This window comes from Homo sapiens, chromosome 12, assembly GCF_000001405.40.
Source record: "Homo sapiens chromosome 12, GRCh38.p14 Primary Assembly".
Lineage (NCBI taxonomy): Eukaryota > Metazoa > Chordata > Mammalia > Primates > Hominidae > Homo > Homo sapiens.
Genome location: NC_000012.12, coordinates 113,783,272 through 113,801,563, shown reverse-complemented (window position 1 = coordinate 113,801,563; position 18,292 = coordinate 113,783,272). Strand labels below are relative to the sequence as shown.

General features: G+C 47.8%; 1 pseudogene, besides 1 other annotated feature; it reads left to right on the top strand.

The window, feature by feature from the left end:
* On the top strand, positions 11,739-12,224 carry DYNLL1P4 (dynein light chain LC8-type 1 pseudogene 4; annotated as a pseudogene).
* Positions 16,507-17,043: an enhancer, noted in NCBI's record as "NANOG hESC enhancer chr12:114222326-114222862 (GRCh37/hg19 assembly coordinates)". NCBI's record gives its function as "activates a minimal SCP1, AML or CMV promoter by ChIP-STARR-seq in naive H9 embryonic stem cells {active_cell/tissue: H9 hESC(naive)}" and the evidence as "EXISTENCE:reporter gene assay evidence [ECO:0000049][PMID:30033119]".

Genomic DNA, 18,292 nt, shown 5'->3' with positions numbered 1-18,292 from the left:
ATAAATTGAATCCATCACTCCTTTATGGAATCCTCCCCACAGCCCCATGGGTACTGCTGTCTCCCTCATTTTACAGTTGAGGAAACTGAGGCGCAAGGCTGCTCCGGGGGCTTCTCAGTGCCAAACGGCTTGGAATAAGCTGGCGTGGCATTCCTGCCGGGTGTCTCTGGCTTCCAGCCCCAAGACTGGACCCCCAGCTGAAGGCCGGTGACAGAGAGCCTAGTGCATTTGTTCATTCGTCAGAACAGACATTGACTAGCACATTTCCCTGCTGGGCCTGGCCTTAGCTTCCATGGGGAAGAGGGTGGACACAGCCCCTGGTCACAGGGGGAGCCACAGGCTAGTGGGGGGAGCAGACGGTTCCAAAGATTATGGAGGATTGAGAATGCCAAGGTCGGGGCATACCTGGGGCCCTGTTGGACGTGTGTGTTTGTGTGTGCACCCGCATGTGGAAGGGGACAGCAAGCCACAGACATACTGTTCCGTGGTCATCCCGAGCTTAGCCTTGGCCTTCAGAAAGCACCAGGCACTGCCTTTACTCATCCAAACAGTAGCCAGGACATGGATTCAGTGCCCTCTAGGCCCCCTCCCCAGCCACACTGCCTGTTTTTCTGATGTGGGATGACATAAAAGGTAGTTTTAAAACCAGCAGATTGGGGGTTTGTTTTGTTTTTTGTTTCTGAGACAGAGTCTCACTCTGTTGCCTAGGCCGGAGTGCAGTGTTTTGATCTCAGCTCACTGCAACCTCCACCTCCCGGGTTCAAGCAATTGTTGTGCCTCAGCCTCCAAAGCAGCTGGGAGTGCACCACCATGCCCGGCTAATTTTTTTGTTGTTGTATTTTTAGTAGAGACGGCGTCTCACCACGTTGGTCAGGCTGGTCTTGAACTCCTAACCTCAAGTGATCCGCCTGCCTTGGCCTCCCAAAGTGCTGGGATTACAGGCGTGAGCCACCGTGCCCAGCCAAAACCAGCAGGCTTTGTAACCCAGGGAGGCAGGTGAGCAGGTTGTCTGCCTTCATCATAGACAAGCTGCGTTGGTGTCGACGCCTCCAGCCAGGACATCTTGAACATGACGTCAAGTCTTGTGCAGAGGGGCCCAGGGAGACAAGGCATCAGGGCTTTCCCAAGGCCACTGCTGACAGCGGGCTGGGTGTTAGACCTGGAGTGGCCCCAGGAAAATGAGACAGCACCACTGGGACTCTGACGGAGCAGTGTTTTCGGCACACGGTCAGGCTGGGGGCAGCTCAGGACTGATCAGTCTCAGTTTCCCTTCCCTAATACACAAGCGGCATTTCTCCCACCTGAAAAAAACACCCCAGCGCCTGTAATCCCAGCACTTTGGAAGGCCGGGGAGGGCGGATCACCTGAGGTCGGGAGTTCGAGACCATCCTGACCAACATGGAGAATCTGCTAAGAATACAAAAATTAGCCGGGCGTGGTGGCGGGCGCCTGGCTACTTGGGAGGCTGAGGCAGGAGAATCTCTTGAACCCGGGAGGCGGAGGTTGTGGTGAGCCGAGATCGCGCCATTGCACTCCAGCCTGGGCAACAAGAGTGAAACTCCATCTCAAAAAAAAAAGAAAAAGAAAAAAACACCCCAGGCACACCATGTTCCATTTCACTCTGGCATGTGTGAGGATCCAGTTCTTCTGGATCATGAATTCCATGAGCACTGACCCTGTTCTAAGTCTTCTAGGTGAATGAACTCTTTCAGCCTTTGAAACAGATACTAGCGTTCTCCTCTTTTTCCAGACAAGGAAACAAGGCACAGAGAGGTGTCGTGGAGTGCCCAAGACCACACAGCTTCTAAGTGGCAGGACTAGGCTTAGAAGTCAGGGAATCTGGCTCCAGGGCCTACACCCTTGACCACAGCACACCATAACTTTGGGATGGTCCCTTCCACGCCTGCATGTGCTCCTGGCAGGGGGCTCCCGGCGGGCGGGGCCTCTGTCTGCACCACTCAGCCTATGGAAGTCAGAGCCCATCAAGAGATGAGCTTCAGCCGGGCGCAGTGGCTCACACCTGTAATCCCAGCATTTTGGGAGGCCGAGGCGGGTGGATCACGAGGTCAGGAGAGTGAGACCATCCAGACTAACATGGTGAAATGCCGTCTCTACTAAAAATACAAAAAATTAGCTGGGCGTGGTGGCGGGTGCCTGTAGTCCCAGCTACTTGGCGCTCAGTAGCTACTCAGTAGCTACTGAGGCAGGAGAATGGCCTGAACCCGGGAGGTGGAGTTTGCAGTGAGCCGAGATCCTGCCACTGCACTCCAGCCTGGGTGACAGAGCAAGACTCTATCTCAAAAAAAAAAAAAAAAAAAAGAGAGTGAGAGATGAGCTTCAAAAGCATACTCTGAGCATCTTCTCCCAGCTTGTGCGGTCACCCGGCCCTTTGCTGGAAGGTGTGAGTCAGCCAGAAGGGAAAGGTTTGAATTGTGAGGAAACAGGGTGTAGGTTGGGTGAGTGCCCCCTCTCCTGATCAAATGTTAAATGCTAAAGGACATGTCCAGGAGTGGGTGGGCAGAAGGTGGCCCATGGCCCTGCACTGTGGCCGAGATCCAGCCCTGCCCACCTACCCCTGGGATCCTCGTGGCCCTCGTTCCGTCTCTATAAAGTGGGGATCCACTTATTTGGTAAGTGTGTATTGAAAGGCACCTAAGTGCCAAGCCCTGTTCTAGGCACTGGGGATACCGCGGTGAAGAGAACAGACAGAAAGCCCCGCCCCCCTGAAGCTCACATCTCACTCCCAGAGACAGACATTCCGCAAGTCAGAACGTAATGTCAGGCAGAGGGTGCTGCAATGTCGTCAGAGCAAGGGGCAGGCACCGCATCAGTCAGGGAGCGCCCTCACTCGGGACCCAGGCACGGCCTCGCTGATGAGGTGACAGTCATGCTACAGCTGCCCTGAGGATGACCGGGAGGAAGCTTGTCCGGGGCCCCTCAACACAGGGCCTACACATAGTAAGTGCTCAATAAACAGCCACCACTGGCGTGGTGCCTGTTCTTATTATTTACATTCCTATTCTTGGTCCCATCGATTCTTAAGCAGATGCTAGGTCAGCTCGAAATTTCCCCATCTAAACTGCAAAGACGAGCGATATTCATGAGGGGCCATGGGGAATAGATGGGCCAGCTTGCCACCGCTGCTAATTTTTATTTGCATCTCAAGTGGGCCTTGTCGCCTTCCTGATGTGGGGAAGCACCACGAGGATTCAGTGGGGGCAGGGAACACGTGCCCCCTGGTCGGAGGGAATCCAGGGGCTCTCTGCATCCATGGCTGGCGGCTGGAGAGGGTTTGCCATCAGAGCTCGGAAGGCCCAGCCCGTTGCCTCCCGTGAAACACTGGGTAGTTTCTCATTTTCCCCTTGAGTAGTTTCACAGCCCAGTTAAACCTGCAGCAAAGGCTGGCTGGGATGGAGACCCCGGCCCAGGAAGGAGGCGGGTGAGGGGAAGCAAATATACCCCACACTGTGCCCTGCCCCCACCACACACACAAAAATATGAAATGGCCAGGAAGAACTCAAAGGAGAAAGTGATTTACAAACACTGGCCCTGGCTCCAAGACAAGCATTCCCCAAATACGAAAAAAGACACCGCACAGAGATCCCACTTTGGGACATTTATTTTGCAAACTGAACAGCAAACCGCACAAAGACATCCTATTGCAGCTCCTTATCTTTTAGAGCAGCAATTTGCCCCCTGGTCCATTTCCCTAATGTGTGGTTCAGCTGCAGAATTCTTGCTTTGATTGTGATAGCCAGGGGTGTGATCATCTTTAGTTATAGGGGGGTTGGAAGTGCTACTTTTGAGAATCTGCCCTCCCCCAGATGCTCATTAACAATACTGGCCCATAACCATGTGAGGGAGGCTCTTATGCCCATTTTTCAGGTGCAGCAATTGAGGCTCAGAGAGGTGTGGTGACTTGCCCAGGGTCATACAGCTCAGAAACCACAGACTCAGGCCTCAGGCTTCAGGCCCATCCACCCCCACTCCCCACCCCTGTCCATCTGACTCTGAAGTCAGTGTTAGTTCCAAAAGATACCCGGATGGGCCGGAGCAGGGAGGGAGAAAACGGGGCCATCATCTTACAAACAGCTTCCGGTCTGGGGTCCAGGAAGTCCCAGCCGGCTGCAGCTGTGACAGCATCAATTTCCCCTCAGGCTCACTGGTCCCTTTTGCAGCTCGCTTTCAATCAGTGCCAGCAACTGGAATGAGACCCTCCCGCCAGTGTCAGCCCTGGCCCATAGACAGGGTCAGGCACCACACGTGGGCATCTCGGGGTGCTTTCTCTGCCCTCATAGGGCTCTGGAATCGGGGTTATCAGGGTCATCAGGCTGGGCAACACGAGTCCAGCTTCTTGAAGCTTCAAAGTGTCAAAGGCTTCTGGAGCCGAGCCCCCACCGTATCCCTGCTGCCTTTGCCCAGTGGTCTCCAGCCTCATGGTAACAATTCTCATTGTGATTAGAATTGTCTGCTCCACTTCAGCCACTAGGGCCACCTTGCAGTCCCTTATGCTCTCTGTCCCCTTCTTTTCTCCAGGTCTCTGCTCAGATGTGGCCTCATCAGAGAGGCCTTCCCTTCCATCCTGTGTAAAATACCACCCCCAACACGCTCTGTCCCCAGCTCCTTTGATTTTCTTCCTAGCACTTAACATCCTCTGACATACTTTATATTTATTTGTTTATTGCTTCTCCTCCCTCCCCAACTAGAATGTTCCATGAGGGCGGGGTGTGTTATCTTGGTCTCTGTTGAGTCCCCAGTGCCCAGAATGACTCCTGGACAAAGGCACATGGATATGGAGTGAACGAGAGTTTGTAGGCAGAGAGCGCCGCGGGCTCCCTCCTTAGTCATCACCACCCTTCAAGGTAAGTCATCTTATCCCCACTTCACAGATCAGAAGACTGAGGTCCCAGGGGCTGAGTATCACGAAGCTCGAAGCAGGATAACCTAGTCTCCTTGACACTGAAATGGCCACCCTGCACAAATGCAGAGAGCCCCATGTCACCCTTTGATGGCACCAGCACAACAGGGAACTTTGTCCTCCACGAAGGTGGGAAGTTCAACTCCTGGCAAGCCTCCGCAGCTTTCAAAAAAGAATAAAGGGGGATCAAATCAAACTAGAAGTTGGAAACTCGGGTCGGCCCTCCTGGCTCCAAGTCCCTGGCGAGGCCGCAGCCGCTGTCTGTGCCCGAGCCGGGAGCGGGGCAGACAGCAGCAGGCCGCGGGGTCTGGGGGCTTGCTGGCAGCCGGCCGGCTGCGGGCTCGCCTGACTTAGTTAGAATGCAGCCGTTAGATCGCTGCATCCTCTCTGATGGCTGCGAGTGATTGACACTTACAAATTACCCAGCCGAAAGTGTCGAGTCTTTGACCCCTGAGTAACATCTTTGGCAAGCCTGAGATTTGCCAGCATTTTGTCATCTAATTACTACAAATCCCTTGAAAATTCACTGGCTGGTGAATTTTTAATGCGGGGCAATTTCAATGTGATGCATGGTCCAGATGGGTTCTTGCGTTTCTCACCTCTCTCTCTCTCTCTTTCTCCTCTTCTCTCCCTCTCATTCTGTCTCCATTCCTCTTTGCTTAACTTTTTTATTTCCTAACGTCCCAAACTTTTGAATGAGCCAGTAGTAACAGGAGCCCCACCCGAGCATTTGGGTAGAGTGGTTGCAGGATGGCTGTCTTCACATCTGATCATTTTCATGCAGTGTTCTTTGGAAATGGGCTTACAGACCAGTCACCAGAAAAATGCCTCCCAGAGAATGCACGGGTTCACCTTCTCCCGCTAGACTTCCCCAACCAGCACAATAAACAAAGCGGCATAAATAAACCAGCCTCCTTCGCGAAGTACCTTGTGAGTGGTCACTTCCCCCAGGCAAGCGGGCTGGTGACTGTCTGCAAGGTTAGTTGCATTCGCACTAAACTCTTGGGCAAAGCTAGCGTGTCATCACAATTGTTTTCTTTTAACTCATTGCTAAGGTCCTCTGAGAATGGTGCTCAGTGGGGAAGGGGCGAGATGGCTGCCTTTTCTGGAGCAGAGATGAAATCATCTCTTCTGCCCTGCATGCTTGGACATTTAATGCTGACCAGGCCTCCAGGCTTCTCAGACCTGGACGGGGAAGCTGGACTTTCTCCAGCCCAGTGCCGCACTGCCCCGTGTTGTAGAATGAACATGAGACTTCAATACAGAGGAAGGCAGGCTTCCCAGTGCTTAGGGTTTCTTCCCCAAAGGAGCAAAGTAATCTTCAAACCATGAGTGAGAAGTAGCCCATGAATGAGAAATTCGCGTCCCATTCTCTAAAGACTCAACCACCCCATTCTGGCATGGTTTTAGAATATTTATTATTCTTTTTTCTTTCACCTATGATATGTATATTGGGTTCTTATATCTAAATACAAAAACAAGATGCCTTTTAAACTTTGTGCCCCAAACAGCCGTTTGTGCAGACGCTCCCCGCGTTGACAAGACGGAGGGTGGAAATCAGTCACCGCATGTTCCCACTGTTGACCTCCTAGAGATAAGTCCCTTCTGCCACCTCCACCAGCATCCCCACCCCCTCCCTCCTTCCCCCTATTCAGGGAAACGAGGTTTTGCTTTTCAGCCCCGTTTCTGGTTACATATGTACACGGCTGATAAAATATTCCTCTTCACCCCTTCTCCCTGTGGGACCCGCCGTCTTACGGGGAAAGGGATTGTATGACAGCGACCGCAACAGACGACGTGTCGCCTGGAAACCACAGTGGGGAGGGGGGGGGTGGTGACTCTCCCCTCTCCTTTTTATTCAAATTCCCACTCCTGGTTTTGATAACGGCATCATTGCTGGAGAGAAAAGGCTGGGGCTTCCTCCATGGAACTCTGGCCAAGGCCCAGATGGTCACCCTCCTGTCCTTGAGAGAGAGGGAGAATGCCACCGAGGTCCTGACCATTTGCTCCCTGGCAATGGGCACCTGAGGCTACCCGGGCCTGCGAGGAGGTTGGTTCTGCCCTCCTGCTAAGTAGGCAAGGTCTGTCTTCTGCACAGCAGGCTCAGTTGGTTCTACACAGAGTTCACTCTCCCTTCGTGGCCAGGATAGTTGGGGCCAGAGAAGAATTTGGGTGGGGGAAATTTCCACAGAAGCAAACATGGCTAGCTGGATGGAGTCCAGCAATGGGAGAAGGAGGGGCTGGGCACTGTGCATGGAGAGGAGGAGGTCTCGGCTGCTGAGATTGTCCAGGAAGGATGAAGATAAAGGAAGGTCTATGGGGTTTGCCCCAAGGGTTCGAGGAGACTCTAGACGGTGCCTTTGCAGAGACAGATTTCTGCTTGTCTCTCCACCCACTTGGTTCCCTCATGTCTCCCTTCATGTGTAACTGATGTTCTCCAAATCCAGAATATTCCAGAAGCAGAAGATGGGGCAAAGGAAGGTTCAGGGAGGTTAGGGGCCAGAGGGAGGCTTCTTTCCCCAAGCTTCTTGACAACCTCCTTTGCCAAAAAGCAACACCTCTCTTTGTTCAGAGTTCACAGAGGCAGGGAAATTGCTGTGAGCATTTTGAAAGCTGGGCATCAACTCTGGAATCGCTGTTTGCAGAGATCTGTGATTGACCAGGCACGGGGCTTGGCGCTGAGGGGCAGAGCTGCAGACCCTGTGGTGAAAGAGCTTAAAATGGCATGTGGGGTTCAGAAGACAAGAACGAATTGAATGAACTCCATGTGAGAGGTGCAGAGGCTTCTGAAAGAGCAAAACAAGGTGGGGTTCAGATATTAATGCTATGAGCATTTAATAAACACCACTAGTTGCTCAGCACAAGAGTGGCAAACATAAGAGACACAGTCCCTGGTCTTGGAGGGCTGAAGTGTACTGGGAATGACCTTTGCATGCAGATGACCCTTAGAAAGGGGGCATCCAGGTGGGAAGTTGCCACAGTGATGAAACACCAACTTCACACATGCACTGAGACCCCTGTAGCTGGGTGGAGCAGGGCTGTTTTCAAGCTAACCTATTTCAAACAAAGATGCACGTGTGCATTACGTGTAAAATAGAGCCTGGTCCCTCCATATGGAGGCCCGATTTGCATGAGCTGGCAGCCAGCAATATGGAGTCCACGTTGAAAGAAATGCATTTGGATCTAAAAATAACACGGCCACTGCAAATGACAAATTCTGTTATCTGTTCTGTGAGGCCGCCTGCCTTCAGCCTCGTACTCCTTAAGATGGAATAATGAAGCAAAAATGCTGGCAACAAAATTTGCCTCTACTTCTTTCCCTTACTTCAATATTCCTCTGCTTTTTTCTTATTATCTTATTTTGGCGTGTGTGTGTGTGTGTGCGTGTTTGCATGTACATGCATTTTACTCCTAACAAGTGCTGTGGTAACCATTTAAAGTTCTGTACTTATTTGGACCATGGTCCGCACTTGACAATATATACCAACAGTTCGGAGACTATTGGGATTTTTCCCTCCTCCCTTTCACGTATTCACACATTCATTCAACAAACATTTATCAATATCTTTACACTGTTTTTTGCACGTGGGCATACTATAGTAGGAGAGAAAGTTCTTCTGAGGTCTCCTGCAAAAACAGATAATAAGCCAGGAACAAAAACATTTATTTCAGATAGGGATGAGGGGTAAAGAAAGGGCTGATTTTAGGTTGCAGTGGCCCAGGAAGGTCACCCTGAGGAGGTGACATTTCAGCCAAGACTTGAAGGTTAAGAAGATACCACCCATGTTTGCTGAGAATGGAGCTGGGGCCAGCAGTATGTTGGGTGGAGGGAAAAGAAAGTTCAAAGGTCCAGAAGCGGGGAGACTTTGTGTTTGAGGATGTAAAGTTGGCCCAGGTTTCTGGAACACAATCCATGTGCGGAATGAACTGGAGAGATATTTAGCCTCGTAGAAGCAACTGTTGAGAGCTTGCCATTCATTGAAACTGGAAGGTTCAATGACGCAACAGAGAGTTGCAGGAGATGGGGTGAAAACAGGACACGGCAGACACTGTGGGATAACCAGTTATTTCTAATCCCCTTCACCAGTGCTGCCTTCCACTTGATTTCTCAGCCCTGATGGCAGCTAGGGGGTGTCCAAGACAGAGTTCTAGCCAATCAGACATAAACAGAAATTTGGCTGGGTGCCGTTGCTCACGCCTGTAATCCCAGCACTTTGGGAGGCCAAGGTAGGTGGATCGCTGGTCAGGAGTTCAAGACCAGCCTGCCAACATGGTGAAACCTCATCTCTACTCAAAATACAAAAAGTTACCTGGGAGTAGTGGCAGGTGCCTGTAATCTCAGCTACTTGGCAGGCTGAGGCAGGAGAATCGTTTGAACCCGGAAGGCAGAGGTTGCAGTGAGCTGAGATCGTGCCACTGCACTCCTGCACTCCAGCGTAGGTAGCAGAGCAAGACTCCATCAAAAAAAAAAAAAAAAAAAAAAAAAAAAAAAAAACAAAAACAGAAATCTGCTAGGAGCTTTCCAGAAAAGTTTTTGTTTTCCTAATTAAAATGATAGTGAAACTGTAGGCCCTCTCCCTTCCTGCCTTCTTTCTGTCTTTCTTTAACAGAGGCAGATGTGATGTCTGGAGCCATGACAGCTATTTCCCAACCTTGAGGCAAAGGCCAATAGAATCATAAAGACAGAAGCTGGGCTCGGTGGCTCATGCCTGCAATCCCAGCACTTTCGGAGGCCAAGATGGGTGGATCACTTAAGGTCAGGAGTTTGAGACCAGCCTGTCCACCATGGTGAAGCCTCATCTCTACTAAAAATACAAAAATTAGCAGGGCGTGGTGGTACACATCTGTAATCCCAGCTACTCGGGAGGCTGAGGCATGAGAATCGCTTGAACCTGGGAGGCAGAGGTTGCAGTGAGCCAAGATGGCACCACTACACTCCAGCCTGGGCAACAGAGCGAGACTCTGTCTCAAAAAACAAACAAAAAAAAGAATCACAAAGACAAACAAGCTATTTAATCCACACCAGTCACCTCCCTCCAGACTCTTCATTATATAAGAAGAACGGCTCCCATCTGTTTAAGCCATAGTTGGCTTTTCTGTTGCTTGCTCTCAAATGCATTCTTGAGTTGATCTGTGGAGTAAGGGTTTGGGGCTGTGGATGGGGGAATAACAATATGGGTGAGTCTGAATTCAAAAGCAGCAGCCTTAAGACTCTAAGATGGATACCATGCTTGAAAGAGCCATCTCTGATGGTAAAATGAATCTATTGCTTACTTAAATATCTCCACTTCAAGTTCCATATTTTGGGGGAAGGGCTAAGATGAAATGAATCAAGATAGGCATGAAAAGTAAAAGTCTGCAATGAAATATAAATCATACGGATGGCCACAGGTTCTAGATAGCACAGAGTTAAGGTCTCAAAATCATGGAAGGCTAAGAGCACAAATGACATGGGATGAGATGAAACTGTGAACCTTGGTTCCAAGAATCCTCATTTTATATGTGATCCTTATTTCACCCAAAAGCAAGTTTGGTGGACAGACAGCACCATTGCAGAAAGACTGCTTGCTGGGGTTTAATTTGTGTATCCATTGAGCCTGGATGGGGAAGGGCTGGAGATGATGGAAAGTGAACAACAGTGGAAAGTAGAACATCTTTCCACATGAGCTCTGCTATCCCCTGGGCTTCCAGGATTTGAGGCATATTGTGACAATAAACTTTTTGTGGAATATGAAAGAAAAGTTATGGGATGTGCAGATTCATTATACAGTGTTAGAAAACAAACAAACACACAAAAAAGAACGTTTATTTGCTTTTTGTGTTCCCTCAAGTCCCATGTAAATTCTTGTAAAGTAAAAGTCTGCAATGAAATGTAAATCATACGGATGGCCACAGGTTCTAGATAGCAGAGTTAAGGTCTCAAAATCATGGAAGGCTGAGAGAACAAATGACATGGGATGAGATGAAACTGTGAGCCTTGGTTCCAAGAATCCGGCATCAGGGCAGTCCCCATCCTGTCCACTTAATCTAATGCCAGCAAGTGTTAAGGTCCAATTGGGCCAAGAGAAACCATCATGCCCAAGGAGAAGGCATCCACCCTATAGTGTAAATGCTAAATACGCAGCTCTCTGCCTAAGTGTGTGGCATATTGACTTGTAATCAACTGATATAGTTTGGCTTTGTCCCCACCCAAATTTCATCTTGAATTTTAGTTCCCCCATGTGTTGTGGGAGGGACCAGGTGGAGATACTTAAATCATGGGGGCCATTTCCCCCATCTGTTCTCATGATATTGAGTTAGTTCTCACAAGATCTGATGGTTTTATAAGGGGTTTCCCTCTTCACTAGGCACTCATTCTTCTTCTCTCCACTGCCATGTGAAGAAGGACATGTTTGCTTCTCCTTCCTCCATGATTGTGAGTTTGCTGAGGCCTCCCCAGCCATACTGAACTGTGAATCAATTAAACCCCTTTCCTTTGTAAATTACCCAGTCTCAGGTATGTCTTTATTAGCAGTGTGAGAATGGACTAATACACCAACAAACATTTGTTGAAGAAATATCTACCTACTGTGCACATACTGCCTCATGTGCTGGAATCATCTAAGACCAAAGGATTATCATAAAAGATGGATGTCAAGGTAGCTGTCCCAGAAATAATATAGGATATTCTACATGCCACATTTGCCTCTAGGGAATGTGCTTCCAGCTGCATTTTAACCAGGACATGGTCGTTCTGCAGCTAGAAAACTCCAGACATAGCTGAGCATGGTGGCTCATGCCTGTAATCACAGCACTTTGGGAGGCCAAGGTGGGAGGGTTGCTTGCTCCCTAGGTAACCATGTGCAACCTAAAGGCCATAATAAAAAATGCTGACATCTTGGAAGAGATGCAACAGGACTTGGTGGAGTGCACTACTCAGGCGCTAGAGAAATAGAATATAGAGAAGGACATTCCAGCTCATATCAAGAAGGAATTTGACAAGAAGTCCAGTCCCATGCGGCTTGCATCATGGGGAGGAACTTCAGGAGTTATGTGACACATGAAACCAAATGCTTCATCTGTTTCTACCTGGGCCAAGTGGCCACTCTTCTGTTCAAATCTGGTTAAAAGCATGGACTGTACCACGCACCCAGTGATCCATCCGAAATCAAGGACTGCACCCTGAGTCCCAAAAACCAGAGACTGAAATTTTTAGCCTTGATCTTGGAAGCTTCATTGTGTTTTATACAGGACAGTCACTGAACTAGTTTGTTATGGTTATAAAACAGTTAGCAAAACCGCCTACATTTGTATTTCTTTCCTTTTCTTTCTTTTTTTTTTTTTAGACAGAGTTCCACTCTGTTACCCAGGCTGGAGTGTGCAGTGGCATGATCTCGGCTCACTACAATCTCTGCCTCCTGGGTTCAAGTGATTCTCCTACCTCAGCCTCTCGAGTAGCTGGGATTACAGGCGTGCACCACCACATCCACCTAATTTTTGTATTTTTAGTGGAGACGGGGTTTCCCCATGTTGCCCAGGCTGGTCTCGAACTCCTGGCCTCAAGTGATCTGCCTGCCTTGGGCTCCCAGAGTGCTGGGATTACAGGCATGAGCACCACACCGGGCCTTGTATTTATTTTCTGTTCCATATCTCTGCCCCATGTTATTTTCTCTCAAAATCCATTCCTTTGAAAAATAAATATGTTGCAGATGTGAAAAAAAAAAGAAAATTGGACATGGAGTATAACATGAAAGGAGAAAGGAATAAAATGTCATTAAAATAAGAATATAGACAAAGGATCTATATACAAATGTCCATAGCAGCATTATTTGCAGTAGTGAAAGACTGGAAACAACCCTGTCAACAGAGGATGGATAATAAAATTGTGGTATATCCACACAACAGAATACAGCTCAGCAGTGAAAAAGAAACCACTGGCATCCACAGCAGCACTGGCCTGAAGTTCAAGAACGTGCAAAACTGAAGGTGGTAACAGGATAGCAATGACCTTTGGGGAAGAGAAACGTTCTATATTTTAATCTGGGTGATAGGTACACAGTGTATACCTAGATCAAAATTCATCAACATGTGTACATTATCTAATTTATACCTCAGTTTAAAAAACATAGGAAGGATAGAAATGTACACATGTATGGGTAGATAATAGTTATAAAGCATATCATATGATTCAGACCGGACCTAGATAAATATCAAGATCCCCTAGGGAGTTTTTGGAAAACATCCATGCCTTGCCTGGCGTGGTGACTCACACGTGTAATCCCAGCACTTTGGGAGGCTGAGGCTGGCCTTCTTTCCTTCCTTCCTTTCCTTTCCTTCCTTCCTTTCTTTCCTTTTCTTTTTCTTTTTGTTTCTTTCTTTCTCTTTCTGTATTTCTTTCTTTCCTTATTTCTCTCTTTCTTCTTTCTTTCTCTCTTTCTTTCTTTCCCCTTCCTTCCTTTCTTTCTCTTTCTTTCTTTCTTCTTTCTTTCTCCTTTCTCTCTTCTTTCTTTCTCTTTCTGTATTTCTTTCCTTCTTTCTCCTCTTTCTCTTTTTTCTCTTTTTTCTTTCTCTTTCTTTCCTTCTTTCTCCCTCCTTCCTTCCTTTCTTTCCCATTCCTTCCTTCCTTTCTCTCTCTTTCTTTCTTTCTTCTTTCTTTCTCTTTCTGTATTTCTTTCTCTCCTTCTTTCTCTCTCCTTTCTTTCTCTTTCTCTCTCTTCCTTTCTTTCTTTCCTTCTCTTTCTTTCTTTCTTTTCCTTTCTTTCTTTCTTTCTTTCACAGGGTCTCACTCTGTTGCCCAGGCTGGAGTACAGTGGCACAATCACAGCTCACTGCAGCCTTGACCTCCTGGGCTCCGGTGATCCTCCCACCTCAGCCTCCTGAGTAGCTGAGACCACAGGCATGCGACATCACACCCAGCTAATTTTTCTATTTTTTGCAGAGATGGGGGTTTCCCTGTTTCCCAGCTGGTCTCAAACTCCTGGGCTCAAGCAATCTGCCTGCCTCAGTCTCCCAAAGTGCTGGGATTACAAGTGTGAGCCACTACACTCAGCCAAGCTTTTTAAAAATGATCATCCCTCTAAGAAGACTTTCTAGACTTTTTTCTAATCACTCATCCTCCCCATGAAATTACAATACTGCAGATATACTGTGTTGCTGTTTATGTGCTGTATGTATATTTCTGCTTTCTACATACAGAGTAAGATTTGTTTCACCTCCCAATAATCAATTTTTGCCCCTTTTCGGGGTGAAATTGACCCTATTAATAAATCATGAGCTCCCTGGGGACCACTAGTAGCTTCTGCTTCACCTTGCCTTATAGGAACAAGGTGTAATGGCTCCTCACTGCTGCCAGTCCCAAGTAGCTTCACTCCCCTTTCTGATGTCTCTTAACCTCATCCACACATTTGTTCCTTTAACTCCCCCTCAATTAGCATTTCATCCCTCCCAGAACCCTGGCTGATGGAGATTCAGTGACAGAACCAAGAACATACCACAGGAATGTTCTGGGATGTTCTAGAAGTAAGATTTGAGAGTTGGGAGTCATCCACAGCTCCCCCAATCCCAAAACCTGTGCCCTTCCCATTGGCAGAGCCTGGCATGACTTGCCCCTCTTGTGGCTAACTGCCCCGGAGCTTATCTGTGAAAGAAATACCTCTGGCTTCACAGCTGCATTCCAGAACATTTTTAAGAGCATTCAGAACTTCCTCAGGTGGGCAGTAACTGCACTGCTTGTTCAGGGAAAACTAGGGACAGAAGGGAAGGAGAAGAATTTTAGCCTCTTTAACAAGGCAGACAGGTATCTTGATTATTCACCTCCAACCTGCAAAGACAGCCAGGTTCTGTGTGAGTCAGCCTTGGGTTTGAATTTTTTGAATCTATTTCTTAAAGATAAAGCATTCCATATTAAATGATCCATGCTAGTTGGTCAAGGAAACTCCTTTCCTATCTCCAGCCTCCTTTCCGAGCAGATTTGGGATTTTCACCTTACTTGTGGCCCCTGAGGATATTTCTCAGCAAGCATCATTTCCTAACGGGAGAGTTCATGTTTTCACCTTGGGTCTTGAGTCTTACAGAGTGATCCACAAACTCACTCTTGATGAATAAGGGAGCCCTTTCCTGCCCAGGAGTCCTGATTTGCCTCTTTGCTGATTTCACCTGCTTCTCCATTTGCTCCTTCTTTACAATCAGCCCACATTTTCTGCCCAGTATAACCAATAACTTGCTGCCCCTTCAAGTAAAAGCCAGTAAAGGTATTTGCTCTGCACTGTTTTAAGGGGTAGCAGAGAGCTTCTAGGGGAGATGGCGAGAAAGAGTGTCCTCTGGTGGCAAAGTTCAGCCTCTCCTCCAGGAACTGCAGCAATTCCGTTCTGGACCCAAACTTGCATAACCTCTTCAGCAAAGAATGGCCTTGCAGTTAGTTACTAGGTACACAGTCCTTACAGGGCAGTTTAGCAATCATCACTGTTACTTGAGAAAGCCTCTTGGGGATCTCACTACTTATCCCTGTAACAGCCTCATACAAGACTCTCCTGAGAGGAATTGGACAAAACACTATTTTCTCCATATTATTACACATCCATTGCTGATTTTATGACCCTTACGGGTGGCTGTTTCTGGCTACTGTTCAGCTGGCCTGATCCTTAATCCACCCCTTTTTCTGCCACTAGCCTGCCTTGCCTACCACATCTCCCAGAATGCCCCATAGCCAAAGCCCTGGGTTAGAGCTGGATGTGTCACAGCTCCTTCTATCACAACCAGGTAGGTTTCCAAAGAACAGCAGTTCTCAAACTTTTGGGGTTTCAGGACACTTTTACACTCATAAAATATTGAGGATCTCAAAGAGCTTTTATTTATGTAAGCTATGTGTATCCATATTTACTGTTTTAGAAATTAAAACTGAGACATTTAAAAGGCTTAATTTTTAAAATAATAATTATAAAGTCATTATATACTAACATATAACATATTTATAGAAAGCAAATAATTTTCTAAAAATAAAAATTTAATGAGGAGGGCCAGGCACGGTGGCTCACACCTGTAATCCCAGCACTTTGGGAGGCCGAGGTGGGCAGATTACCTGAGGTTAGGAGTTTGAGACCATCCTGGCCAACGTGGTGAAACCCCATCTCTACTAAAAATACAAAAAATTAGCCAGACGTGGTGGTGCGCACCTATAATCTCAGCTACTCAGGAGGCTGAGGCAGGAGAATTGCTTGAACCCAGGAGGCGGAGGTTGCAGAGTGGCATTGTTCTACATTTTTGCAAATGTCTGACTTAATAGAAAACACCTGGGTTCTTTTTCTTCTTTTTCTTTTTCTTTCTTTTTTTTTTTTTTGGAGACAGGATCTCACTCTGTCACCCAGGTTGGAGTGCAGTGGCATGATCTCAGCTTACTCACTGCAACCTCCGCCCCCAGGCTCAAGTGATCCTCCCACTACAGCCTTCTGAGTAGCTGGGACCACAGGCACACGCCACCACACCTGGCTAATTTTTTGTATTTTTAGTAGAGACAAGTTCTTACCGTGTTGCCCAGGCTGGTCTTGAACTCCTGAGCTGAAGTGATCCACCTGTCTCGGCCTCCCGAAGTGTTCAGGTTACAGGCATGAGCCACCGCTCCCAGAAACACCTGGATTCTTAAACCCACTTTTGCGACCTGTTGTTTTGCTTGAGGCATATGAAGAAAATCTAGTTGTACAAAAATATGAGGTGGGAAAGGGAGAGGCCCCCAGGTTCCCTGGAAGGATTTCTGGGACCATCAAGAGTCCTCAGAACACTGCTTAGAGATTCAAACTCTGGCTTCTCCTTAGCAGAAAAGCAGATCTTTGCAGGAAGCAGAGAGCCTGTGTTAAGCCTCAGGGGTTCTTAACTCTCTTGGGTTAATGACCACTTTGAGTATCTGATGAAAGAGAAAGATCTTTGCCTGAGAAGAAAACGGTTTTTAGTGGATGCAAAAGCGGTGTGCATGCGCATAATTCCAGAGGTTTCACTAACCCTATGAGGCCCATCTCTGACCCCAAAGTGACAGTAGGGGTTGGGAAAGAGGGAGGTCATAGTTGCTTCTAGGCCCTGAATAAGTACACACCCCCTCTAATCCATTCAATGCAAAGTCATGTTCATAGCTAATTCATAACAACAACAGCTACTATTTGGGGGCAATCTTTATGGTATGTCAGGCACTGCTGTCTATTTTACACACTTTACCTAAGTTACTCCTCACAAGAGCCCTCCATGCTATTATTATTCCCATTTTATAGATGGCAAAACTGGGACCCAGATAGGTAAAGTCACTCATCCAAGGTCACACAGTGGGAGTACACCAGCTTAGTCTGCTAACCACAGCCTTGCTCAGCCCCAGTGCTAGCAGCTTTACAACTAATGTGTGTGTATGTGTGTGTGTGTGTGCTGTGTTAAGCAGGAAAACCTATTTTCCTAAACAATTCACAATATGTAAAACAAAGAGAGGCTAGGCTGATTAAAGTGCTGGGTCTGGGAAGAGTGTATTCCAGTGCTCTTCCTCTATCCTTTCTATGTACTCAGCACTGTTCTAAGCACATTACACGTGTTAATTTATTCAGTTTTCCCTACAACCTACAATCTATAACTGTTTCTGTTTTACAGATGAGGAAGCAGATTCAGAGAGGTTCAGCAACCTGCGTAAGGTCACACAGAAAATGGCAGTGCTGAGTGAGGAACTCAGTGAATCGTGTGTGTGTGTGTGTGTGTGCACGTGCGTGTGCATATGCATGTGTGTGTACCTTTTTATAATCATGATGTTTGCATGGGAAAGTCTGGCAAAACAGATACCAACCCATTAGCAGTGGTTATCCTAAAAGGGTTGAGAAAAAAGATGGACCTTTACTTGCTAAACCTTTTCTTGTAATGTTTGAAATTTTAAATCAGAAAAATAAAATAGAGATTTTTTTTTTAGAAATAATAAGACTTAGTATGTTGACCTGTGGAGCAGGCCCCGAGCATGTAGCGTAGTGTCTGGGCATGCAGGTGTATGTGATTGGTGGGGAGGGAGAAAGAAACTTCCAGAAAGCCACAGGCTGGGGAAAAGTTGCCAGGTCCTAGGCACAGGGCTGGAGAGTGAGGTGATGCAAGGGAATCACAGGGGCCTCATGACTGTGCTGCCTCCCCCATGAAATCCTCCAGGTGTACACCCACATGTGGTAGACATTGGGGTACTCCCAGAAAAATCTGCAGGGGCCTCAAGCCTCTAGAATGTGCTGGGGCATGGGCCTGGCCCTCCGGGGTGCTCACAGTCATCCTGCGGTGTGAACACCCCCTGCAAAGTCCCCCACCGAGTTCACAAGACAGGAGATTCTCATTTTCACCCAGAAGACAGCCTGTCTGTTGGATGGCTAGGAGCCTCCTTCTATTTTTTTTTTCCTG